Below are 27,452 nucleotides of genomic sequence, written 5' to 3'. Positions count from 1 at the left end.
ACCTCAAAATGTAATTGTATTTGGAGATGAGGCCTCTAAAAAGGTAATTAAGGTTTAACTGAGGTCATGTGTGTGGGCCCTACTCTTTGTGACTATATTTGGAGATTGTACCCTCAAAATTATTATGTTAAAATGAGGCCTACAGGATGGGCTCTGAGTCCAATATGACTGATGTCCTTATAAGAAAAGGGAGACACACCGGGATGCAAAAGAAGGAAAGGCCATTTGAAGACAAGGCAGGAAGGAGATCACCTTACAAGCCAAGGAAAGAGGCCCAAGAAGAAAACACATGCCAACTTGATCTTGGACTTCAAAGCTACACAATTGTGAAAAATAAATTTCTTAAGTCACCGAACCTGTAGCATTTTGTTATGGCAGTTCTAGAAAACTAGTATGATTGGTATCATCTGTCTGTTCAAAAACAGGTCAATAAAGTATTACACCAAGATCTCTTCTCTCCAAGGGGTAAATTCCAACATTATTTTCCCTTTTGCCAATAAAACCACCATTTACCCTTACATATTTTAGGAGGAATGGATCAGATTGAAGGGAGTCGTATTAAAGTAAACACAGTGCCTGGTCTAGGAAATTAATTTTAAAAAGCAATGACCAGTTGAATCTTTAGTTCAAAGGTTAAAAATGATAGCTGTCATTAATTCTCTCGTAGGTCATTATCAAGTCTTCAAATATAATAAACATTTAAACCTCACAATAATCATGAGGGACACATATCCCCCATGAAAGAGAGAAATAAACCCTGAGAGAAAAAGCAACTTGCCCAAAGTCATATAGGAGAAAGTAGATCTGAAATCCAAGTCCAAAAGTCTAAACTGTTATACCCTAAAACTATTAGCCACCTCCATTAAATCGTAACACTAAATTATAACAATCATTATTAGGGCTCACGAGCTGTATCTGTAAATACAGATTGAACATCCTGATCCAAAAACCCAAAATAAAAAATGTTCTAAAATCTGAAATCTTTTGAGCACTGACATGACTCCAAGAGTGGAAAATTCCACATCTGATCTCATGTGATCAAAAATGCTGTAAAAACTTTGTTTTACGCACAAACTTGGTGTATGTGAAATACAGATCAGCTGGGTTTTAGACTTGGGTTCCATTCCCAATCTCATTATGTATATGCAAATATTCCAAAATCTAAAATGAGAAACATTTCTGGTCCCAAGAACTTCAGATAAGGGATACTCAACCTGTAACAACAACCAAGTACTATACAACTACTATTTGCTCTAGAGAGCACCAAAACACAAACATTTCTCTATTTCCTACAATGCAGTCCTAGGAACAACAGCAAAAAGCAAATCATACTTTTTTCCAAAAGAACAATTTTATAAACATTGCATGCAAGTTGAGCAAACAACTCTGTAGTGGAATAAATCACATCCATGTTAATTGCCATAAACATGAAGAAACCTACATATTATCATCATACACAAAGTAATAAAACAGTCCAAACTCCTATATAGTAAGTATAGAGGTACTTTAGACTCTGATTTTACAGTTTTGCTGATGTATCACAAATCTAAAAATACATAAAACTAAAAATTTAGATCTTTACTGTATTAAAAATGAGAACTAAAGCTAATGCCTGTCAATTGAACACTTTAACAATAAAGTCCTACTTTCTGACACTTCAGGAAGACTATGAGAGGCCAGGTGCGGTGGCTCACACCTATAATCCCAGAACTTTGGGAGGCCGAGGTGGGCGGATCACAAGGTCAGGAGTTCGACATCAGCCCAGCCAAGGTGGTGAAACCTCGTCTCTACTTTAAAAAAAAAAAAAAAAAAAAAAAAAATTAGCCGGGAGTGGTGGTGCACGCCAGTAGTTCCAGCTACTGGGGAGGTGAGGCAGGAGACTCACCTGAACCTGGGAGGCAGAGACTGCAGTGAGCCAGGATCGTGCCACTGCACTCCAGCCTGGGCAACAAAAGCTTAACTCTGTCTCCAAAAAAAAAAAGAAAAAGGAAAGGCTATGAGAAAATGAATTGTCCAGTTTTCCTTAAAAACTCTCTTTATTGTTATTTATTTATTTATTTTTGAGACAGAGTCTCGCTCTGTCGCCCAGGCTAGAGTACAGTGGCGTGATCTCAGCTCATTGCAACCTCCGCCTCCTGGGCTCCAGTGATTCTTCTGCCTCAGCCTCCTGAGTAGCTGAGACTACAGGCGCCCACCACCACACCTGGCTAATTTTTGTATTTTTAGTAGAGATGGAGTTTCACCATATCTGCCAGGCTGGTCTCAAACTCCTGACCTCGTGATCCACCTGCCTCGGCCTCCCAAAGTGCTGGGATTACAGATGTGAGCTACCACGCCCGGCCCTCTTTATTAAAAATGAAGACAGGAGGGGTTACAGCTCAGAGGCAGAGCACTGGACTGCAGATAAAAAATGAAGAATAATCTTTTCACCTGTAGGGGGGTCTAAAAATTTAATTAGTGAGGATTAGGAGAACTAGAACTTCCTGAACATGACTCTTTATTGACCTTTTCTTTGTTTTTCTCCCTTAAACAGACTGTAGTACAAAATACATGGTGAAGACATAACAATTTTTATTTTATTTATTTTTTTTGAGACAGAGTCTTGCTCTGTCGCCCAGGCTGGAGTGCAGTGGCACAATCTCAGCTCCCTGCAACCTCCGCCTCCCGGGTTCAAGTGATTCTCCTGCTTCAGCCTCCCAAGTAGCTGGGATTACAGGTGCCTGCCCCGACACCCGGCTAATTTTTGTATTTTTTTGTAGAGACTGGGTTTCACCATGTTTGCCAGGCTGGTGTTGAACTCCTGACATCAGGTGATCCACCTGCCTCGGCCTCCTGAAATGTTGGGATTACAGGTGTGAGCCACCAAGCCCAGCCTCAATTTTTAAAATTAACCTTTAATATGCTTAGTTAACAGAACAGAAGAATACAGAAAAAATAAAATAAAATTTGGCTTACTTCCCATTATGTACTCAATTACTTAGCACTTATCAGATATGTAATATATACTCTCAAAATATATACATTAAACATGCAGACTGTACTGAACCAAGTGGCATCCTCACAGCCTGCTTGGCAAGTGATTAACAGAGGAAATAGTATAATGTTGGGGGTGGGGGGCTGGGTGAGGAAAAGCTATGATACAACATTTCTCCAATTCAGAACCCCTTCGTACTCTTTAAGTCCCAAAGAGTTTTTCCTTATGTCAGTTGTATCTCTGATACTTACCATACTTGAAAATAAAAGTGAATGTTTAAATATTTATTTACTTAAAACCAAACATTTCACATATTAACATAATATATTGAAGTAATGAAAAACATGTCATTTCAAAATATGCCAAACCATTGATATGAGTTGACAACACTGGAGAAATTGTAGTTTCAGAAATGGGTAGCTGACTCATCTCTTCTTGCATGCAGCAAGTCATGAAGGCTCCTCTGGGAGGGGTACCCTCTCCGTACCAGGGCAAATATATAGCCCTTATCACCAGTGACTGAGAATTGAGGGTTGCACAGACCTGATTAAATATACTTACCAAAGTAACACTTATCTTCCACCAGTTTTACACCCCCCATATGTCTCCTAGTGACTCCCCTAAAAGTTTGCTGCCCATTGCCAGATCCCCTTTGTCCTATCATTTCTTCTCAAATTTATTGCTCTTTGTCTAAAAAGTAAAAAAGCATCTTGCTTTGGTCAGTTCTTCTGATTTCTCTCGGGTAGATCTCCATGTACATATAGACCTAATAAAATGGTACGCTTTTCTTTTGTAATCTTCCTGGTGTTGATCTGGTTTCTAGATTCAGCCAAAAGAGCCCATATAAGAGCTAAACGGGAGTTGGAAGTGATCTCTGGCTCCCCTACAACATCTTCATGAAAACTATATATCCAAGCCACAAGTAATTTATTTAGTCAGATGACACTGTTTTATATTTGTCAAAATCTCTGGTTTAATACAAGATGGCTGGATTCTCATATCTGTTTCTACCTTTAATCTGTTGCAATACATTGTTTTCATTTCATTTTGTGAAAAAATTATGCCTCACAAAGTTATGTAGTTGGAGAAAGGAGGGGTACTTTCATAGCCTTTTTAGATTATTGTGAATATTTTTCTTTGATACTAAACCCAAACTTGACAGGTGGTAATTTCTTAGAGTTATTTGCAATGTGGAAACTGGAACCATACGAAAAAACATTTTGCATTCTATTACGTTAAAACCGTTAACCATGTATTATTTCCTAATACTGTGCTTTGGTCATTTGGAAAATACTAGTTCACTGAGTAATACACATCTTCCAAAGGTCGACACATTTCATGATATTATATTAAAAAATTACTTTTGTTAATATCACCATTGATCTTCTCAGAAATGTCTAAGTATCTGGAAGCTGTCAAACTCACAGTCATGGACACTAGTTTTCCAAAATTCAAACTTTCCTTTGAAAACTGGGGTTTTATCACTGGAAATACATACTGTGTTGTTTTCTTTGTATTACTTTGTTCATTTTGAGAAAACATCTGCCAAATTCCTAAGTTTGTATAACCATACTTTGTGAATCAGTGGTGTTCTGGGAAAGAAACGTGACTGGTTAGCACAAAGCAATTGCTCAAACGCCTTCCCTTGAGATCACTGTTGTACGGTATGCAGTGATGCGTACTTCACATTTTGTTTCACAAAGTATTAAAAAGACATCTCCTAAGTTGAGATTTAATAAAATTACTAATTTTTACTGCTTCAAGAGTCTTTAAGTGATACTGGCATTTACACAATTTTAAGAATACATTGACTACTAGAACCGTCTAGAGCCTTGGCCTTGATCCGTGGTGCTAAGGCACCAGCAATTTTACCTATGATTGCTTTTGCACCATGAGTGCAAATATCAATATCGTGAAAAAGGCAAGTAGTGTCTTAATATTATTATGACAATAGTTTTGATCTTGTAGACACCCTCAGAAGTCCTCAGGGAACATTCAAAAAGTTCACAGACCACACTTTGAAAACTGATGAGGGCTGGACACGGTGGCTCATGCCTGTAATCCCAGCACTTTGGGAGGCCGAGACGGGCAGATCACTTGAGGTCAGGAGTTCGAGAGCAATCTGGCTAATGTGGTGAAACCCTGTGTCTACTAAAAATACAAAAATTAGCCAGGTGTGGTGGCACACGCCTGTAGTCCCAGCTACTAGGGAGGCTGAGGTGGGAGAATTGCTTCAATCTGGGAGGCAGAGGTTGCAGCGAGCCAAGATCACGCCATTGCACTCCAGCCTGGGCAACAAAGCAAAATTCCATCTCAAAAAAATAATAATAATAAATAAAATCAGTAAAAGCCGTTTATAATATATCAACATACTGGTATAGTCAATAATCAGAATTAGAATAGTGCTGAACACTTAGATTTGTTTATCTGGACTATTTTCAGAAGTAAGCAACAGCAAAATAGCTAACAGCCAATGGCTAAAAAGATATTCCTGCTGCAATGACGCTTTTTAATTCAAAGCAAATAGGCACTTTTAAGTAGTACCATAAAAGAGACAGGAAGCAAAAAGGAAAACTACAAAAACAGAGGAAAGAATAGTGAAAAGCAGAAACAGTTATAAAGAAAAGACATCTGCTACTATTCAATTCTGACATATGCTGAATATTGTCTGTGTTTAAGGCATTGTACCAGGTGGGGGATATTAAAGCAAAATAATGGCAAGTTACAGTTCAACTTGCCCTTTTGAAATAGGAGTGAAGTAGCCATGTTCATGAGTAACTATGTTATAAGCATAATTTGTGCAATGAGAGAATACACAAAATGCTAAATGAACAGGAGGGAAAACAGCCTGTCCTTCCATATAAAAACAATAGGAAAAGCTAACTTGTTTTAAAGATATTTTCTTATTACCAAAGGTAATGGGAACTTACATTATTAGCATATGCAGGAAGACTCCATGGCCCTAGGGAGTAATTCCAAATGAAATTTCCCACCAGTGGTATGAGTGGTATGCATAAAAGAAGACAATCTTATATCCCAAGTTTATCCAGTACCCTTTACCCGTTCTCGTATCTAAGTCTACCATAAAACAAGCATTCAAGCTTGCCACTGGTTTTACCTTTTCGGTGGTCCAAGATCAAGGCTCCTTCAAACAAAAAATCACTAGTAGGAGATTAAGGCTCATTCGAACAAAAAAAATCACTAGTGGGAGATTATGAATTCACATAGAAATACTTTAAATTAATTTGATAATCCATAAACAAAGGTGATCTCCCAAAATAGAATAAAAACACCTAAACCTTTATACCTGTCTTGCAGAATTATAAATCCCTGCCGTTTCTGATATTCAAATCATGTATTGCTCTACACTGTTCAATCCTTTAGATGGCAACTGATTTTCAAGGCAGTTCCTTCAAATACCAACTAAAACACATCATATATTTGCCCTCTTAGAAGATTACCAAAATATGGCCAGGCACAGTGGCTCACACCTGTAATCCCAGCACTTTGGGAGGCCAACGTGGGCAGATCACTTGAGGTCAGGAGTTCGAGACTAGCCTGGCCAACATGGTGAAACCCTGTCCCTACTAAAAACACAAAAATTAGCCAGGCGTGGTGGTGCACATCTGTAATCCCAGCTACTTGGGAGGCTGAGGCATGAGAATTGCTTGAACCCAGGAGACAGAGGTTGCAGTGAGCCATGATCCCACCACCACACTCCAGCCTGGGTGACAGAGTGAGACTCTGTCTCAAAAGAGTTATTACCAAAACAATAGACTATAAAATCTGTAGTCTTAATTTGCATATCATGGTAGACAGGAAAATACCTTTAGCATCTTAATAAAAGATGAATCAAACTCTCTAATAAATACCCTAGAAAAGACAAACAATACACTAAATATAAGATTAAAGAGTAGTTTCTAATACATCATTCTAAGACAAAATGAGGGAAAAAACCCCATTTCAAATTTAAGTCAAAAGAAAGGGTGAAACATAAAGGAGTCTGGGTGCGGTAATCCCAACACTTTGGGAGGCCAAGGCAGGTGGATCACTTGAGGTCAGGAGTTTGAGACCAGCCTGGGCAACATGGTGAAACCCTGTCTCCACCAAAAATACAAATATTAGCTGGGCGTCGTGATGCATGCCTGTGGTACCAGCTACTCAGGAGGCTGAGTCAGGAGGAGGTCCCAGCTACTCAGGAGCCCAGGAGGTGGGGGTTGCAGTGAGAGAGATCATGCCACTGCACTCCAGTCTGGGGGACAGAGTGACACTCTATCTCAAAAAAAAAATAAAATAAAACAATTAATTAATTAAAACATAAAGGAAAAGAAAGTCATGCAATTAACACTGAACAAGGCAAAAGCGTTAAACCTAAAGGAGGGACTTCTAAATAATAGACTTTATACCTACAATAAAAATATAACTGACATATCCCAACTCCATACTAATAATGAAATGCATAAAAATTGTAGGATATATAAGGCAAAGAGTCAAGAGACAAATATGAAGCATTAACTTTTCTCTATGCTCTTAATAAAGCAAGAGCACAAAAATAAACAAGATGTAGAACAGTGTTTTTCAAACATTTTTGACTGAAACCCACTGTGAGAGACATATTTCAGATTATGATACTAAGCACACAGATTGTTAGATTTGCAAGTGTAACTGAAAGAAAATGTGAGCAGCTCTTACTATAAGCAATACACTTTGATAATTTTCTATTTGTTCTACTCCATTAAAAATTGTAGTTATACATATTTAGTCAGGACCCAAGAAATTGATTTTATGACACAATAAATGTTTATGATCCAGTTTGAAAAACAAAGATATAATAAAACTCATCTATTATTCGACATATAATTAAATCTGTACTTAGATTATGTTTTCTTTCCAAGCACCCTTGAATTTTTACAGAAATTAAATATTAGGCCACAAAGAAAATCTGAGTTAATTTCCCCCAAAGAAGAAATACTACAGACCACATTCTCTGGTCACAAAACAGTGAAATTAGAAGTAAATGTTAACAAAAATATGCAAGCAAAATTTCTGCCAGTTGGAAATTTTTTAAAAAGAGACAAAACCTCATAAAAATGGCTTCTAAACAACTTTCAGGTCAAAGAGAAAACAACAACAACAAAAACACATCAAAATCTAGGATACATCATATATATGACACTATAAAAATTAAAATAATCTGGTAAATTAAGATTAGAGGAACAGATTAACAGACCCAAAGATGCAAACAAACATGGGAATTTTAGACTATAATGATGACATTTTAATGTAAGAAAAAGGATTTTTCAATAAATGAAAAACTGACTAGTAACTGGTGAATAATGAACAAAGGAGAAAACGATATCACCCTTTCTTTAGTCCCTATAATGAAATAAAATTCAGAGGAGATTTAAAGTTAAAAATCAACACGAAACCCAAAGTGAGATACAAACTCATGTCCATTATGTTGGCTATTATCAAAAACACAGGAAATAACAAGGTTGGAGAGGATGTGGAGAAACTGGAACCCACCACACTGTTGGCAGAAATGTAAAATGGTGGAGCACCTATGGAAAACGGTATGGAGGTTCCGCAAAAAATTAAAAATAGAATTACTATATGATCCAGCAATACCACTTCTGGGTATACAACCAAAAGAACTGAAAGCAGGGTTTCAAAGAGAATATTTACACATTCATGTTTACTGCAATACAATTCAAACAGCCAAGATGTGGAGGCAATCCAAGTGCCCATTGATGGATGAATGGATAAACAAAATGTGTATATACACACAGTGAAATATTATTCAGTCTTAAAAAGGAAGGAAATTCTGATATATGCTACAACATGGATGGATCCTGGGGATGTTATGCTAAGTGATGATTCCACTTTAATGAGATACTTAGAATAGTCAAATTCATAAAAAGACAACGTAAACGGTAGTTGCCGGGGGCTGGGGGAATCAGAAATGAGGAGTAGTTGTTCAATGCATAAAGAGTTTCAGTTTCACAAGATGAAAAGAGTGCTGGAGAATAGTTGCATGACAATGTATATGTATTGAACTGAATGTACTGAACTGTACACTTAAAAATGGTTGAGATGGTAAATTTTCTTATGTGTATTTTATCATAATTTTTAAAATTAACAGACATACTAGAGGAAAATATGAATGAGTATATTTATAGTGTGGTAATGCGGAATGCAGAAGACTTAGAGGAAAGGATGAACAAGGTGACCACATAAAAATCTAAAATTTTTCTATGGCAAACAACAAAGGGGGTGCTATGGTCTGTTTGTGCCCCACTCCCCAAAACGGTATGTTGAAATCTTAACCATTATGGTAATGGTATTAGGAGGTGACATTTGCTGGAGGGAGGAAGGGGTATTAGGTGATGGGGGCAGAGCACTCATGAATGGGATTAGTGCCCTTATAAAAGAGGCCCAAGAGACCCCTCACTCATTCAGCCACATGGGGTTAAAAGATTGTGGTCTAGGAATAGGGCCCTGAGATACCTAATCTTGCAGCACCTTGATTTTGGACTTCCCAGCCTCCAGAATTGCCAAGAGTAGATTTCTATTGCTTATAAGCTACCCGGTTCATGGTAGTTACAGCAGTTCTAACAGACTAAGACACGTGGAATTTAAGATATACTTACAAATAATTTATCGGAGAGACATGTATTAGAAAAACAGAAAAGCATAAAGAAACACAAAAAATCCAAATGGCTAGTAAATTTATGAAAACATACTTAAACTAAAAAATAAAGAAAAAGCAACAATAACATACTTTTGCCTATTAGCTTATTAAAGATAATAAAGGTCTGCAATATTTTAGACAGGTATGAAAAAGCAGACATCAAAACCAAGATGTAGTCTGATACAAACTAGTGAAATTTGTGTGTAGGGTGAAGTGACAATGACTAAAATAATATTTCTATCCCCCTCCTCCCCCCCACCCCCCTTTTTGGGACAGAATCTCACTCTGTTGCCCAGGCTGGAATGTAGTGTAGTGATCACAGCTTACCATAACCTCAAACTCCTGGGCTCAATCAATTCTTCTGTCTCAACCTCCCAAGTGGCTAGGACTACAGGTGCACACCACCACACCTGACTAATTTTTTCATTTTTTGTAGAGACAGGGTCTCACTACATTGCCCAAGCTGGTCTTGAACTCCTGGTCTCAAGCAATCCTCCTGCCTCGGCCTCCCAAAGTGCTGCGACTCTACAGGCATGAGCCACTGTGCCCAGCCAAATACATGCACATTTAAAATGCACTTAAGATTCCTACTTACTTTTGAGTACTTATTGTACTTTCTGTTACAACAATTCAGCACTAACCCTTTAACTAAGTATTGCTTTTCAATTAACATTAACAGACATTAAGAAACCACAATGACTATCTACAGGTTTAACGATGGCTCACATTTTGGCCACAGACACCTACAAAAAGACTGAGTATTGCGCAATGGTCACGGAATTATGAAGCTAAAATGATACATTCAGTATCATCATTCAAAGGATAATAACCATTTTAATGTGGGCAAGGAATACAGAAAACTAAGCAAAGCCAGGAGAAGACTGTAAGACCCAAACAGTTGACTTTTTACTCAAGATCATACAATCTGTATGTGGCAGAGCAATACTCTCAGGAAATCTTTCTGACGACTGGTATAGTTTTAAAAATGTCTCTCACTTATCAACAAGTGCTACTTTCAATATGACAACCACCTTGAAAAGGCAACCACTCTAGAGGACTAAATCTATTTCAGCAAAAAAAAAAAAATTCATCAAACATATACTAAAACTTTCCTCCATTCCGCCAATGCCAAAATAATCTATGAACCCATCTATTTTTATCTCCTTCAATTATCCCCCCCAGGGAAAATATGTCTTTATTCTTTTGCACAGTTAAACAGTCCAACTGTTCTTCAGTTCTCATCACTTGATGCCTCTCTTCAGATACCTCCCTCCCTCAGTCCTTCCCTCTCCACTAGCTTCTTGTCCTTGGTTAACAAACGCTTGGCCAGGTGCGGTGGCTCATGCCTGTAATCCCAGCACTTTAGGAGGCCGAGGCGGGCAGATCTCAAGTCAGGAGATTGAGACCATCCTGGCTAATACGGTGAAACCGGGTCTCTACTAAAAATACAAAAAAAAAAAATTAGCCCGGCGTGGTGGCGGGCACCTGTAGTCCCAGCTACTCAGGAGGCTGAAGCAGAAGAATGGCATGAACCCGAGAGCAGAGATTGCAGTGAGTTGAGATTGCGCCACTGCACTCCAGCCTGGGTGACAGAGTGAAACTGTCTCAAAAAAAAAAAAAAAAACAAAAGAACGCTCAATTTTCAATAATCCTGAAACATATTTTCTTGACATTACTTCCCAATCAGGTTACCTATTTCTCTCTTTCCTTTCCTGAATGAATAATCTCTATCTCATCACCATTCTACTGAAACTGTTAAAGGTTAGTAGTTACTTTTAATTCCAAGGAAACTGGTCACTGATCAGTCCCCACTCAACTTGACTTCTCTACAGGATTTGTTACTAGACAACTAAATACCAAACTAGGTATTTAGGTATCCAGGACACTATCATTTTCTATGACTATTCTAGTCATCCTTCAAATTTTTCATTGGTTTTCCTGCCCATTGTCAAATGATGTTTTTTATTGTACACCCTGCTTAGGACATTGATGAGTCCCAAGTTCTAGGGTTTAGACCACTCTCTGAGCTCTAATATTCAACCATCTACTACCTTGGTACTAAAATAGGATGGGTAATGCAAACACAACATAATTTTTAGTATCTTTCTCCTAAACTCACCTCTTAATTCAGTCCATGGTGTCAATCCTCCAGCTGTCCAAGCAAGGAACATTTGAGTTATCTGTAAATCCTCCACATTCAACTGATCACCTAATATCATCAAATGCGTATCATTTACAACTCCCCTCAGTTGCCTCCTCTGTCATCTCTACAGTCATTTCCCTACATTGAGGCTTCAATGAATACAACAGCTTCACTAATAGCATTTCCATAATGAAATGCTCTATGATGTGTACCAAATAAGATCTACCGTCCCTGACACAGGATATAAAGGCCCCTCACAACCCAATGGTTTACACTTCTATCTTTTCAGTTTCATCTATATTGTCTAAAACCTCCTGTTCTATAATCTGCCCCCAACCCTCCACACACATATTAGACTCTTGGAGGCAACATATATTTTCAACTCTCTCATCATTTGTTCACCCAGTAAACAATGATTTCATTGTTTAGAGTCCACTCCAAAGGTCATATCTCTGTGACTTTTTGTGATCCTCCCCTGAAGAATGGATAATTCAATCATTTGTGAATTACAGATAGTGATTCTACTTTGCTTAGTATTTTGCCCTATTATATGGTTTTATCACACCATACTATTTTAACTATATATTTACATACCATTTTCTCCTGGTGCTCTTGGAGGATCAGGCTTCACTCATTTTTATTCTTTATTCATAAAATATAGTAGGATCTCTCTTCCCTTTCACCTGCCATTATTTCAATCCCTCCAAACTCACTGTACTCCCAAAAGTCAAAGAAAAAAAGGAGAAATAATGTGTAAATAACAATCATTGACAACTTTGGGCACCGAGAAGAGTAAAATAAATCAGGGGGCAGAGGTTAAGTGTATGCCCTCAAATCCAAAGGCTGGCTGGGATTTAGAGGGGCATTAGGGAGGATGTCCTGTACCAAAAGAAGCTTCAAGCAACCATGGCCAAAGAACACCTGATGGCTAAAGGGACTATTTTAAGGTCCTATTTTAAAATAAAGGTGTGGTGGCTCATGTCTGTAATCCCAGCACTTTGGGAGGCCAAGGCAGGCAGATAGCCTGAAGTCAGGAGTTTGAGACTAGCCTGGCTAACATGGTGAAACCCTGTCTCTACTAAAAATACAAAAATTAGCCGGCTGTGGTGGTGTGCACCTGTAGTCTCAGCTACTTGGGAGGCTGAGGCAGGAGAATTGCTTGAACCCAGGAGGCAGAGGTTGCAGTGAGCCGAGATTGTGCCACTGCACTCCAGCCTAGGTAACAGAGCAAGACTCCATCTCAAAAAAATAATAATAAATAAATATGTATAGGGCTGGGCGTGGTGGCTCATGCCTATAATCCTAGCACTTTCAGAGGCCAAGGCACGTGGATCACTTGACGTCAGGAGTTTGACACTAGCCTGGTCAACATAGCGAAATGCCGTCTCTACAGAAAATACAAAAATTAGCCGGGCATGGTGGCATGAGCCTGTAGTCGCAGCTCCTCGGGAGGCTGAGGTATGAGAATCACTTGAACCCAGGAGGTAGAGGTTGCAGTGAGCCAAGATTCTGCCACTGCACTCTAGCCTGGGCCACACAGTGAGATTGTCTAAAAACAAATAAATAATAAATAAATTTTAAAAAATGTATAAAGTACTAATAATGCCCACTCATCATGCAATAATATTTACTTCAATGCACTTATTGAGGGCCTACGACAAGCCAGTCGTTGCCCTGAACAATGGAGATAAATAGGTGAACACAACAGATAAGGTCCTGCTCTCATGAATCATATGTTCTAACAAGGGAGTCACAACTATATAATGTAATGTTAGCTAGTGATACACAACTACATAATGAAAGGTTAGCTAGTGATAAATACTATGAAGAAAAATAACAGTAAAGCTGGGGTAGGGTGGGCTGGGGTGGGTGGCTATTTCACAGGGTGATCAAGGAAGGTCTTCTTAAAAAGGTGACATTTTACTGAGATTTAATGAAACAAAGCATCTGAGTCATATGCAAATATCAGCAGGAAGAGTCTTCCAGGCAAAAAAGCAAATTGGAAGAAGCAAAGATGGGACCTTGCTTGAAAGATTCAAGAAACAATGTGGTGGTGGCACAGTAACTGAAGGAGGGTCATAGGAAATGAAGTCAACTCACTAGATAAAATAACAGGATTAGTCAAAAAGAGTGATTACAGGTAATTTTGACTACATACAATTTCTGTCCTGTAAGCTGACTTAGTTTGACCTGACACTTTACTGTAAATAAACTAACGCAGCATTATCCCACAATGGGAGTATGAAAAGTTACCACATGATAAAGAAGTAAGGTCAATAGTCACATCCTATTTATAATTCACCAATTTTCATCTCCAGTCCTGACCTTAAAATCTAACTTCAGTATCTTGTCCTCTCCAGAGATCCAACACTCAATTCTGAATCCCCACTTCCTCAGCAATCCCTAGACCCCAGGCTAAATTAGCACTTGGGGGCAGGACCTTTGATTTTTATTCTTATTTATTTATTTATTTTGACATGGAGTTTTGCTCTTGTTGCCCAGGCTGGAGTGCAATGGCACAATCTCGGCTCACTGCAACCTCCACCTCCAGGGTTCAAGTGATTCTCCTGCTTCAGCCTCCCGAGTAGCTGGGATTACAGGCATGTACCACCATGCCCAGCTAATTTTATATTTTTAGTAGAAACGGGGTTTCTCCATGTTGGTCAGGCTGGTCTTGAACTTCCAACCTCAGCTGATCAGCCCGCCTCAGCCTCCCAAAGTGCTGGGATTACAGGGGTGATCCACTGTGCCCAGCCAGACCTTCGATTCTTATTTGAATTCTTAAAGACATTTACCTTTTTTTTTTTTTTTTTTTTTGAGATACAGTCTCTGTCCCCCAGGCTGGAGTGCAGTGGTGTGATCTAGGCTCACTGCAACCTCTGCCTCCCAGGTTCAAGCAATTCTTGTGCCTCAGCCTCCTGAGCAGCAGGGATTACAGGCACGCTCCACCATGCCTGGCTAATTTTTGTATTTTTAGTAGAGACGGGGTTTCACTATGTTGGCCAGGCTGGTCTTGTGATCTCAGGTGATTTGCCCACCTTTGCATCCCAAAGTGCTGGGATTACAGGCTTCAGCCACCGCGCATAAAAATCTTACCATTCATCTTATCTCATTCCCATCAGGGATCTAAACCCTGCCCTTCATTACTTTGAAACCTCTCATATCTCTTTCTTCTCCATTTCTACCGCTATCATTAAGCTCAATTACAGGAGTTGCCTAAATGTTTTCTTTCCCTTCAATCCCTACCCTCAATCAGTGTGTACTAGTCACTACTGCTAAACTGACTTTTAAAACTTTCTTTCACCATTTTCCATTCACTCTGTAAGTTCTTCAATGGATATCTAATACTTACAATGTAAAATCTAAACTTCTCAGTTTTCAAGATTCTCCAAAATTCACAGTATCATTTAAAACAATCTTTTATTAAAGCAAAGTGCTCCATTCCTACAAGGATTAATTCTCAACATTCCTAGAACAAACTTAGTTTTCTTATTTCCCGAAGCCATCAAGGCTGATCATGTAATTCCTAAAGCAATCTCAGTTTTTAAGCAGAATTTATGTATGGAAAAAAGTCCCAATAAAGAGAAAATGAGTGTTATCATTAGAAAGAAATAAAAACAGAAAAATATCTTCTGATCACTAAAGGAAATTAAAGATTTCACATGACCAATACTGATAAATAACTAAAACATTCCACTGAAATCCAGTTTACAAACTGCTTTCACTTTCAGAGATGAAAAAAGTGTGGATCACAGATTTCAAATGACTTGTCTAATGTCCCACATTTAACAAAAATGAAGAAGCAGAAGCTTCTATGGACTCGAAATCCCATGTCTACACCTTGGCTTTCCTGAACTATCTAACTACAGAGGAAACAGACAAATATATTCATTGGAAAAGCATTAAAATACCTGGATGTCAAATATCTATTCAAAGAGTGAACACAGGGATTAAAATCCTGGTGCTTAAAATCCTTCAGTTGTTCCCTATAGCATTTAAATTCAAAACTACTTAGACAAAGCCTTTGTAAATCTGACTCCTAATCCAATCTACCAAATCATTCTGCCAATTTCCAATTACACCAAAGTATTTAAAAATGTTATTCTAATGATAACTTGCAGAGGATCTGCCATCATTATTACATTTAAGTAGAAGGGTGGCAAACAAAAAGATACCAAGGATAAACATGTGTGTTACCAATCTTTCAGGCTACATTAAGTTAAAAGCTGTTTACGAAACAGAGTTTTGCATAAAAAAAGATATTACTGAAATAAATATTAAAATATAACTTCCAACATTCCTTTCACCTTTCCTAAGAAACTAACTAATTAGTTTATGCTCAGGAATCATACTGCCAGGACTTGAGTTCAGGCTCTACCAAGTTCCTAATAACCTCTCTGAATCTCATTTCACATTAACCTCTATGTCAGTAATATCTACCTTGTAGGATTATTGTGCAAATTAAATGACAGAAGGTGAAGCACTTATCACTATTCCTATAATACAACAAGAGCTCAAATATATTCCTCTAATAGTTAACTGTTCAATGAACATAGATTCGAGTGGAAATCTTAATTTTTGGCTTATCCTCAAATACTTTTGTCTCTGACAATCTGCTGATGAGGTTAAAAATGTTCATTCACCATGAAGAATACCAATTACTCATTTGCATTCTGAGGACATCCAGGAAGTCAGGTGGATGCAAGAACTTGATGTGATCTGATCTTCCCTTGTGTACAGAGGTTGTCTTTAGGCACCTTGCTCAATGTCTAGCTCACAGTAGATGATCAATATTTTGAGGGAATACTGGAATGAATGAAAATGTCTGCCCAAATAGCCTCAAAGTTTATCATAGGACTGAATCACTGACATCGCTCTTCCAATAGCAACCGTTCTGACCTATGGATGCCCTAAATTCTAATTTCAACTTCCACCATGGGGCCATATTCGAAGAACTCATATAAAAGTGAGGCGACAATGGATGGATGCTCAGTTGAGGGTACATGGTGCTTATGGCAGTCCCAAAGCTGTATTTAAAAGGGCACACCGCAGGACAATGCATCAATATATATGACATCAAGAATAAAAATGAGAATCCCTTCTGCCTTTCATCTTTTAAAAACTGTCCTTGATGTTACATCAATTTTAACATTGTAACTCACCTGTTTTTTCAGTTATATCTGAATCAGGAGTGTTTGCCCTGCTAACTTCCCCTTCAGCATTCTCCTCTTCAGCACTAAGAGAAATTGGTGAAGAAGGGCCAGGCTGGGAAGGTTGAGGGGTTGCTTCGGGCGCTTCCTCAATCTTATTCCTTTTCTCAAAGCGAAAACGGTCCAGGTTGAAAAGATTCATATTGGTAGAAAGCACCACCTTGCAGGGATGGGGGCTTTAAATGAACTATCTGCAGGGGAAAAATAAAGAGAGGAAAAAAGGCCATGAAAACAATATACGATACAATGCCACAGCAGTTTATTCCCAAGGCAATAAAGGGCCCGCAAACATGCCAGTGGCTCAGGACTGTTATGGCTGCGCTTCATTGTTAGGCCGCAACAATTAGAAGGTGGACGGGGGTATCTTTTAAAATTTTCCATTGCTTTTCACTCCCCTTCGTCCGCCTCCCCCGCCCGCCCCTCCTTACTGAAACCACGAGCTGACCCTCATGCAACCTCCTCTTACCCAAGCACGCGCAGGCACGTTCCCCAGTATAACCCCCTAGCGGGCCTCGCGCCCGCCCACAAAGAGAAGCTCCCTGTGCTACCGTGCCCCCTGCCTCGAGAAAGGACCTGCCAGGGCCCGCGCCTCGACACTGCGGGGACACAAAGGGGCCAAAGAAGGGGAGCGGCGGAGGCCGTGCTGGCGGGCATCCGCCCGGAAGTTGACGCGGCGCGATCCCAGCTGAGAGGAAGCTGATAGGATTAAGAACACACAGGAAGGTTCAGAGGTGGAGTGCATGCTAAGGCATCTTTTTAACGTTCAATCGCTCGCTTGTTCTTTCTTCCCTCAGTACTTACGATCTTGTAGCCTCAGTGCTATGTAACAAAGGTTGAAAATAAAAAAAAAATTTCCTAGCGTGGGGCGACGGTAGCCGTGCCGGGACCTTCCAAAACACCACGGAGAAACCTTAAGAGCGCGTAATGATGACGCAACACGCAGCCTAGGCTTTTTCTTCCCAAACAACGCGCGAGCCGACAATGTCGAGGCGCGCGCTGTTGTCATGGTAATTCGTACCCGTCTCCGCCGGCTTGTAAGGGCCAGATTGTTCTGTACCTTTGTCCTGTTAAATTATCTAGAGAGTTATTAAATAGAACAATAGTAAATAGCATAATGACAAAAAATAACAATATATAATACAATTAGTATATATTGTATGTATTATAATCTGTAGTGTTTCACCTATAATATAATGTAGATAGCATAATAGTAATAATACTGTGCTAAGCTTTTTCAGTGTATAATCCCAATCCTTACAAGAAGCCTATGTTTACAAAGCAAAGAAACTGAGACCTGCAAATGTATAGGTAATTAGTGACGGATAAGAACCCCGGGATGCTGAGCTTCAAAGCATTTAAAGTAATTCCTCACTTTCGGCTTGATTGTTCTTAGAATGGAATTTGATTAATTAATTAATTTTTTAAAAATATTTTAATTTTTAATGTTTGCGGGTACATAGTAGGTGTACATATTTATAGGGTACATGAGATATTTTGATACAGGCATGCAATGTGTAATAATCATATCAGGGTAAGTGGGGTATCCATAACAAGCATTTATCCTTTGTGTTTCAAACAATCCAGTTATTTTAGTCATTTAAAAATGTACAATAAGCTGGGAGTGGTGGCTCACGCCTGTAATCCCAGCACTTTGGGGGGCTGAGGCAGGTGAATCACAAGGTCAGGAGTTTGAGACCAGCCTAGCCAACATGGTGAAACTCCGTCTCTGCTAAATATACAAAAAATTAGCCGGGCGTAGTGGCGGGCGCCTGTAATCTCAGCTAATCGGGAGGCTGAGGCAGGAGAATAGCTTGAACCTGGGATGCGGAGGTTGCAGTTAGCCGAGATCACTCCACTGCACTCCACCCTGGGCAACAAAGCAAGACTCTTGTCTCAAAAAAAAAAGTACAATAAATTGTTGTTGACTGTAGTCATGCTATTGTGCTATCAAATACTAGATCTTATTCATTCAAACTGTATTTTCGTACCCATTAACCATGCTCACCGACCACCGGGGTCCTCCCCCGCCCCACACTACCCTTCCCAGCCTCTGGTAGCCATCGTTCTACCGTTTCTCATACGTTCAATTGTTTTAATTTTTTAGCTCCCACAAATATAATAAATGAGAACATACCAAGTTTTTTTTCTGTGCCTGCCTTATTTCCTTTAATATAATGACCTCCAGTTCCATCCATGTTGCAAATGACAGGATCTCATTTTTTTTAATGGCGAAATAATACTCCACTGTGTATATGCACCACATTTTTCTTATTCATTCACCTGTTAATGGACACTTAAGTTGCTTCCAAATCTTGGCTGTTGTGAATAGTGCTGCAACAAACATGAGAATGCAGATATCATTTCGATACACTGATTTCCTTTCTTTTGCATATAATTCACCTATCTTGATGGAAATGTTAGCTTAAGAATATATACTCCTGGCCGGGCGCAGTGGCTCACGCCTGTAATCCCAGCACTTTGGGAGGTGGAGGCGGGCGGATCATGAGGTCAGGAGATCGAGACCATCCTGGCCAACACGGTGAAACCCCGTCTCAACTAAAAATACAAAAAATTAGCCGGGCGTGGTGGCGGGCGCCTGTAGTCCTACCTACTCGGGAGGCTGAGGCAGGAGAATGGCATGAACCAGGGAGGCGGAGCTTGCAGTGAGCCGAGATCACGCCATTGCACTCCAGCCTGGGCAACTCCATCTCAAAAAAACAAAGAATATATACTCCTGGGCTAGGAGCAGTGGCTCACGTCTGTTATCCCAGCACTTTGGGAGGCCAAGGCAGAGCTGGGGCAACATAGTGAGACCCCATCTCTAAAAAAAATACAAAGTTATCCAGGCATGATGGCACACGTCTGTAGTCCCAGCTACTTTGGGGGCTGAGGCAGGAGGATCACTTGAGCCTGGGAGGTCGAGGCTGCAGTGAGCCATGTTTGCACCACTGCACTCTGGCCTGGGTGACAGAGCAAGACCCTGTCTCAAAAAAACAAAAAACTAAGATATACTCCCTTTGTTCCAACATTAGACAAGCAATTTTCTGAGTTATAATTTGAGCTTCTGGTTGGCATTTCCCATAAAGAGGAATTGCTACAAATGATCATTCTGCCAGATATATTAGCCATTGTAAACTTAAATTGCCAGTTTGTTTTATAAGTCAGTGTTGTGAATTGTATATTTACAACACATACCCACAGTTTTATCAAATGTGGGCACATTTATAAAATCAGGTGTCTGGGCCAATAAAACTCAAGATCAAAGCCTGAACAATTAGGACTTCCTTTATACCTATCTTTAATATCCCATGAAATGCATTAGTTTTATGCATGCATATTAAATTATGTGATCAAAGAATATATTTACTTATGGCCAGGCACAGCGGCTCATGCCTGTAATTCTAGCACTTTGGGAGACTGAGGTGGGAGGATCACTTGTGGCCAAGAGTTCAAGACCAGCCTGGGCAACAAAGGGAGACTTCATCTCTCTTTTTTTTTTTTTTGAGACAGGGTCTCACTCTGTCACCCAGGCTGGAGTTCAGTGGTTCAATTGTGGCTCACTGTAGCCTTGACTTCCCAGGCTCAAGCGATCCTCCCATCTCAGCCTCCCAAGTAGCTGGAACTACAGGTACTTGTCTCCATGCCTGACTAATTTTTGCATTTTTTGTAGAGATGGGGTTTTGCCATGTTGGCCTGGTGGTGGGGGTGGGGGGAGGCGGGTTGGGGGCATCAAGGCTGCAGTGAGCCATGATTGAAAGAAAAAGAAAAGAAAAAAATATATATTTACTTGTAAGTAGTAAATTATTTTTGGTGATGAAGACAATTTGATTTCTATTTAGAGAGATCTGACATTGAAAATGGACTCCTCTAGCTGAATGACCTTTCTAAGTCTTACTTTCATCATTCTTTAAATGTGATTAACAATAATATTGACGCTTAGAGTGCTTTTCTGCAACAGTACCACCTCTTGACGTTATAGCTGGGACAAGATTGAAAATGAACCACATAAATTAAAAATGTCTAAATATTTAAACATTATAAATATAGCCAACAAAGTGTAAAAGTTAAATATGTTCTTCCTATTTTGAAAATACCAGGGAAGCCAGGTTGAATTTAGAATTTCTATTGTGTCAGAATGTGGGTTAATGAAAGAGAATTGATTGGCTCATATATCCTGCCTTGCTAGTGTCACCTTTTCATACACAATTTGATACTAATGGTATCAATAACGATATCATAATGGGCCATGTGCTTATGCACATAGATGCCCAGCATATGGACACCCAACTCTGGCCCCCAACTAGGGTTACCATATTTGTTTTTTTTAAAAAAGGGATGTACAGTTAAATTTGAATTTTAAATAAACAATGAATACATTCTTAGTATAAATTTGTCTGATGAAATACTTGGAACTGATACTAAGACATTATTTGTTGTTTATCTGAAACTCAAATTTAACAAGTTGTCTTGTATTTTATTTGGCAAACTTACTGCTCTCCCACTCCTTTGTCACCTCTTGGACCTTGGGGCCTTTTGGCTACATTTTTGGCCTAGGGTTATAGATACTGAAAGCACTGTTTGCCCTCAGTAGGAAGGACCTCGGGAAAAGTCACTGTTAGACTTCTTGGGGCTGTGTGAGCAAAGAATTTTAGGGACCAGGTACTCAAATTATTGTCTAAAAGTGAAGGCACAAGTTCTGAATGAACACGTCTTCTTGGCCCCAAAGATTCCTTTAGGGCAGGGCATAGCTGGAAAGAACTAGATTTTGCCCTTTAAAGCACTAGACCAGGATAGGGACTCCTTTTGACCAGTTCTAAGGGTAGGATTTTTCTGCAACCTTCATTGACCTGGGAGAATTATAATGATTCATGATTGGGGTTCTCTTTGAAAGTGAAGTAGAAGTTTAAGGGTATGTATTAGTTTGCTAGGGCTGGTATATTAACAGCCTGGATGACTGAAACAACAGAAATTTATTTTCTCTTGGTCCCTGAGGCTAGATTTCCACTCTCAAGGTTTTGGTAGAGTTAGTATATTCTGAAAGCCATGAAGGAAAGATCTGTTGCAGACAATAGATGAAATCAATGAATTAGCCAGGCGTGGTGGCACACGCCTGTAGCCCTGGCTACTCAGGAGGCTGAGGCAGGAGAATTGCCTGAACCCAGGAGGCAAAGGTTGCAGTGAGCCATATCATGCCACTGCTTTAAAGGGTGACAGAGCAAGACTCCATCTCAAAAAAAAAAAAAAAAAAAACAATGAAATATGAAGAAATGATAAATATAAGATTCAGAGAAGTGAGAATGAAGCTTTGAATAATAGGTGTAAACAATCATACATACTCACACACACATACCAAAAAAAAAAGAAATAATGAAAAACATAATAGAAAACGTTCATGGGCTTTCATTTAGTCTGCATGTGAAAGAGCTTAGTGAATTCAGGCAGAATCAATTGAAAGAGACTATACAGTAAAAATATCCTGCAGAATTTGTTTTAATTTCAAGAATTTAAAAAATGTCTTGCAAGCATTTTTCAGAAAAAATCTACAGCCTACAAAGGGAAAGAAATCAAGCAAAAGCTTTTTTGTTAAACGTCAGAAAGTAATGATGCAATATTTATAATGATTTGGGGAAAACGATTGTGACTCAATAATTTTCTAGATCACAAATATTCATTTGTGGAAGAAAAAAATTCAAACTTCTAGTTTCCTGAAAATATATCTTCCTTAAAATATTCCTAAAGACATAAATCCAGCTGACAATGTCAAAATGAGAATTTCAATATGGTGAATTCATGGTGTAAAAGCATTCTGTTGAGACTAAACACATGAGTTAATGATTGTAAATATGTTGTGTTAGTCAGCTATTGTTGTATAACAAACTACAAAATTTTAGTTGCATAAAGCAATAAGCTTTTATCTCTCTTTCATGTTTCTAGTGATTGGCTACTGTGGCTCAACTTCAGACTATAATGCCTGCACATAGTAGAGGATCAATGAATATTTGTTGAGTGAATTAATGATATTAATAACTAGATAAATTGTATGAGTATACAGATAACCACAAATAAAATGTAAGGCAAACTACCATTCAAGTGATATATGTCACAAAAGTACAACATAAATCAGAGTTCATAAATCTCAGAAAAGAAGTGACAGATCTCAAGAAAGGAAGAGAAAAAAATATATATATTTTAGAAATGGAGATTAAAGTAGACCTAACAGATAGATAGGCAAACATAATGGATAATGCCTTTAGAGGAATATAGTGTGGAAAGGGAAAATACTTTAAAAATAAAAATAGAAAGGTAAATAGATTTTTAAAAAATAATTATTGAAGATAAAGAAGATCCAATATAATTATAATAGGAGTTGTTACAGAAGAAAACCAAAGCAAAGGAGTAGAATAACTAAAAACTATCTTTCAAAAAAACATTTCCTGAAAACTATAAGGATTTAAAACTATATATTGAAAGAACACATCATTTAGTTAAGCATACCAACACAGATGGCCAACCCTAAGACATACTCTATTAAAATTTAGATTTTAAAGGAAAATAAAAAAGTTTCTTGGACATCTAGGATTTAAGATAATAAAATGTGATCCAAGAATTTTATATCAAGCAAAAGTGCCTTCCAAATATAAAGGCACAAACACACTACTAACATCAGGTAAGAATTCTGTGGGTATTGTTTCCATGAGTACTACTGAGGTATCTATCAGAGAATAAGCTTCACAAAACCAAAATGTCTATAGAGACAATGTTGTAAGGATATGTATTGAGCATTAACTATTGCAGAACAAAGATAATATGATGTTTAAAAGAAAGACAGTACAGTTTATAATGGTTATATGATCTGTCAATGTTCACCTCCTAAAAGGCAAAGAATGATAGGAACATATGAAAAAAATGTTTAACTGGTTTTCAGTAAAACAGTTGAAGTGTATTTAGTGTTGCTATCCTGAGACCAATGTGTGTATATTGTTGGGTAAAACAAATTAATAATTATATTCTAATTATTTCTTTTTTTTTCGAGAACCACAATTCTCAGAGTAGAAGAAAGGAAACAGAGATATAATAGAGAGAGGTTATAGTACAAACCCTACAGCGCAAGTGGAATGGTCTTTTATTTGAATTGGAAATATCAATATGAACTTATGAGATGTGATACACACACAGACACAATGTGTGTTTGTTTTCCATCTTTGTCCACCGAAAAGGCCTAGGAAGTGACTAGCCCAGTACACAGCCCTAGTACCATGATCATAATCTTTGAATATCATTTACTGCTAACAGAAACCTGGACTTCTTTGAAAAAGAGCAGATTACAGTATGCAATGGAAAATGCACAAGGTGAGACTGAAATATCTTCCTATACCAAAAAGCAAGGAAATTATCAAAGACCACTAATACCATGTCAAAAAGATTCAGAGGTCAACTTGAGGTTCCTACTGGCCAAAGATGGGGCAGTTTGAGCTTCAATGTGATTAAAAATTGCAGTGATTTGAAAGCCATCAAATATGTTGAAATCCAGGAGTTCTTACTGATTTTTTTTTAAACTGGTTGACTTTGGAGGATGAAAGGAAAACAATTTATTATCGTGAAAACTGATAAACAGATGGAAAGAATTAAGCTTTATCCTGTCTTTACTCTTTGAAGGCTTCTACTAGATAATTGAAGAAGAGGTAAGGGAAAGTGTCTCTTTATAAAAGTATTCCAACTAGCAAATGAGAAAAAAACTATAAATTGGAATTACTTAGCAAGCCTGGCTCATTTACAAAATCATGAGATATAAAAAAATGGCTATTGTTCTAAGCCACTAAATTTTGGGAGTAGTTTGTCATGCAGTATTAGATAATTGAAACATATCCAAATATTTTCTACATTTTTGTCTTGAGTGTACCAATTCTTCCAGTTAAAATTAAAATGTTTTCTTTTTTCTATCTTAAAATCCCTATACTCAAAAACTGCCTGAAAATCTTATGCTCTTTTTGTCAAGTTTTGAGTAGTTCAGTCTAAAAATCACCTTTTAATATACTTTGTGTCCTTACATTTTCTCTATCTTCTTTTACAGAATAATTATTTCCCACAATAGTGTCTAATTCTTCTTTCTCAGGAGTGTAAATGAGATTAAAGGCATCTCTTCTTTAGAAATAGCTACTGAATCATAGAAAAGCATCATTATTTCTAATTTTTGTTAAAGGGCTTTATGGGATTAAACATGGCCATTAAGAGAAACTTCCTAGAATATAGACCATAAAATAGAATTTTGTCAGCAGGGCAACTCAAATGTGGTTAGAATAAGATATTGCTTCAAGGGTCCCTATGGGGATAGAATTCACCTTTCTTTTATTCTTTTTCTATTCTTTTATTATTGTTATTATTTTAGACAGGGTCTCACTCTCACCCAGGCTGGAGTACAGTGATCATGGCTCACTGTAGCCTCGACCTTCCCAGACTCAGGAGATCCTCCCATCTCAGTCCCCTGAGTAGCTGGGACTAATGTTGCACACCACCACATCCAGCTAATTTTTGTATTTTTTCTAGAGATGGTGTCTCGCTCTGTTGCCCAGGTTGGCTTTGAACTCCTGGACTCAAGCAATCCTCTTACCCCAGCCTCCCAAAGTGTTGGGATTACAGGTGTGAGCCACCATGCCCCACAGAATTCACTTTTTAAATTAAAGTACTTATGTATGGCTGCAAGAATCATTTTAATTACCTGTTAGTTTTTAATGGGCTCAGTGAAAATGTTTGATAGAATCCTCAAATTTCTTAAATAGGAGAAAAGACTGTGGGAATTTTATTGTTATTTCTTTTTGCTTCATACTTACCAAAATAAAACCATGAAGCAATTTGAGGAAGGAGCAGCCCTTCCAAAATTGAACTGAATTGATTAAGAAACCAAACAAAAAAACGAACAGCAACAGAGATTAAAAATGAGATTTGTAAACTTGGATCCTTTCTTAACTTGGTATCTTAGAAATGTAAACCACACCTGGTTGGTAATGGAAACTTGTGTAAACTAATCTTGCCTCCCACACATGAATATAAAATGGAAAAGACAAGATACCAAGTCATAAAACTAAAAAACAACTTTCTTCCTTGGTAACAAGAAAGTAAGCCAAATATTACCAATTCGTAAGCAAATACTTCTTTAAGTAGAGTAATGATTCTTAATTTGGGAAGGTAGAGGGCATGGTTATAAATCTCTCTTAGGAATCCAAATTTTAAAAAGTCACAAACCCCTTCCAAAAAAAACTACATATGCACATGACAGGTGGCACATAATTTCAGGGGGCTCATGGAACGCTTCGTGCTCTGTGAGCTTCACATTAAGAAATTCTGACAAAGATGTCCACAATCCTCATAACTCTGGTAGAATTCATGGTGATTACATCCATATATGTGCCTTCTTAAAACTTCTAGCAACTATCATTACCAATTTAGGAAACTAAAAAATATTGAAAATTTTCATACTTTTGGTTTGGTAACTATCTGCCAGTTTTGCTAACATAATTTATTTTTTTTTTAAAGTGGGATTTAAATTCTAATTAAATTACATGATGCTTGATTTTTTAGAACTTGAAGAACAAATTCCATATTGTAACTCTTTTTTTTTTGAGACGGAGTCTTGCTCTGTCACCCAGGCTAGAGTGCAGTGACACGATCTTGGCTCACTGCAACCTCCGCCTCCCAGGTTCAAGCAATTCTCCTGCCTCAGCCTCCTGAGTAGCTGGGATTACAGGCATGTGCCACCACGCCCAGCTAATTCTTTTTGTATTTTTAGTAGAGACAGGGTTTCACCATATTGGCCAGGCTTCTCTAGAGCTCCCGATCTTGTGATCTGCCGGCCTCGGCCTCTCAAAGTGCTGGGATTACAGGCGTGAGCCACCGCACCTGGCCTGTATCCTTTTTCACTTGATTTTTAAAATCCTATTTTTTCCCTTCCTTTTTCTGCTTATGCATATCTTAAATTTTCAGGATACCCTCAACTGGCAAGTTGAATTCATGCTCACATATACACAAGATTTTACATTTTTTCTTCTAGTGGCCTTGCAATTCAGTTTCCTCATTACGTTATATAGTCACTATTTTTTTTTTTTTTTTTAAAACAGTCTTGCTCTGTTACCCAAGCTGGAGTGCAGTGGCATGATCTCAGCTGGGCTCACTGGAATTCTGCCTCCCGGGTTCAAGCAATTCTCCTGCCTCAGCCTTCTGAGTAGCTGGGACTGCAGGCGCACGCCACCATGCCCAGCTAATTTTTGCATTATTAGTAGCGACGGGGTTTTGCCATGTTGCCCAGGCTGGTCATGAACACGTGAGCTCAGGCAATCAGCACACCTCAGCCTTCCAAAATGCTAGGATTACAAGCGTGAGCCATCATGCCCTTCCTTTATAGTCACCATTTTGTTGTATGTACCCACAATGTCAGGATCG

General features: G+C 38.4%; 1 protein-coding gene and 1 long non-coding RNA gene across 30 annotated transcripts in view, besides 2 other annotated features; one reads left to right on the top strand and one right to left on the bottom strand.

Annotated features, from left to right (window-relative positions):
• The window catches only part of SMARCAD1 (SNF2 related chromatin remodeling ATPase with DExD box 1), an 83,685-nt gene extending 65,738 nt beyond the window's left edge, over positions 1-17,947 (bottom strand). For 13 of the 29 annotated variants that reach the window (NR_164736.1, NR_164724.1, NR_164729.1 and 10 more), the window contains exons 1-2: positions 17,820-17,947; positions 16,971-17,209 (exon numbers count right to left, since the gene is read on the bottom strand). Coding sequence is in view for 8 of the 29 variants with exons in the window: in NM_001128430.2 (NP_001121902.1) it covers positions 16,971-17,160 (190 nt within the window). In the remaining 21 variants the exon portion in view is untranslated. The other 16 variants (NR_164737.1, NR_164723.1, NR_164733.1 and 13 more) reach the window with 4 other exon arrangements.
• Positions 17,110-17,613: an enhancer, noted in NCBI's record as "NANOG-H3K27ac-H3K4me1 hESC enhancer chr4:95129093-95129596 (GRCh37/hg19 assembly coordinates)". NCBI's record gives its function as "activates a minimal SCP1, AML or CMV promoter by ChIP-STARR-seq in primed H9 embryonic stem cells {active_cell/tissue: H9 hESC(primed)}" and the evidence as "EXISTENCE:reporter gene assay evidence [ECO:0000049][PMID:30033119]".
• Positions 17,712-18,071: an enhancer, noted in NCBI's record as "active region_21729". NCBI's record gives its function as "activates an Ori minimal core promoter by ATAC-STARR-seq in GM12878 lymphoblastoid cells {active_cell/tissue: GM12878}" and the evidence as "EXISTENCE:reporter gene assay evidence [ECO:0000049][PMID:35858748]".
• Positions 17,999-27,452, top strand: part of SMARCAD1-DT (SMARCAD1 divergent transcript) — an 89,737-nt gene continuing 80,283 nt past the window's right edge. Inside the window, exon 1 of the long non-coding RNA NR_125922.1 lies at positions 17,999-18,025. This is a non-coding gene — a long non-coding RNA (SMARCAD1 divergent transcript). The remainder of the gene's footprint in view (positions 18,026-27,452) is intronic.

Source organism: Homo sapiens, chromosome 4, assembly GCF_000001405.40.
Source record: "Homo sapiens chromosome 4, GRCh38.p14 Primary Assembly".
Classification (NCBI taxonomy): Eukaryota; Metazoa; Chordata; class Mammalia; order Primates; family Hominidae; genus Homo; species Homo sapiens.
The sequence above is the reverse complement of the archived record's forward strand: the minus strand, read 5'-3'. Positions and strand labels throughout refer to the sequence as shown.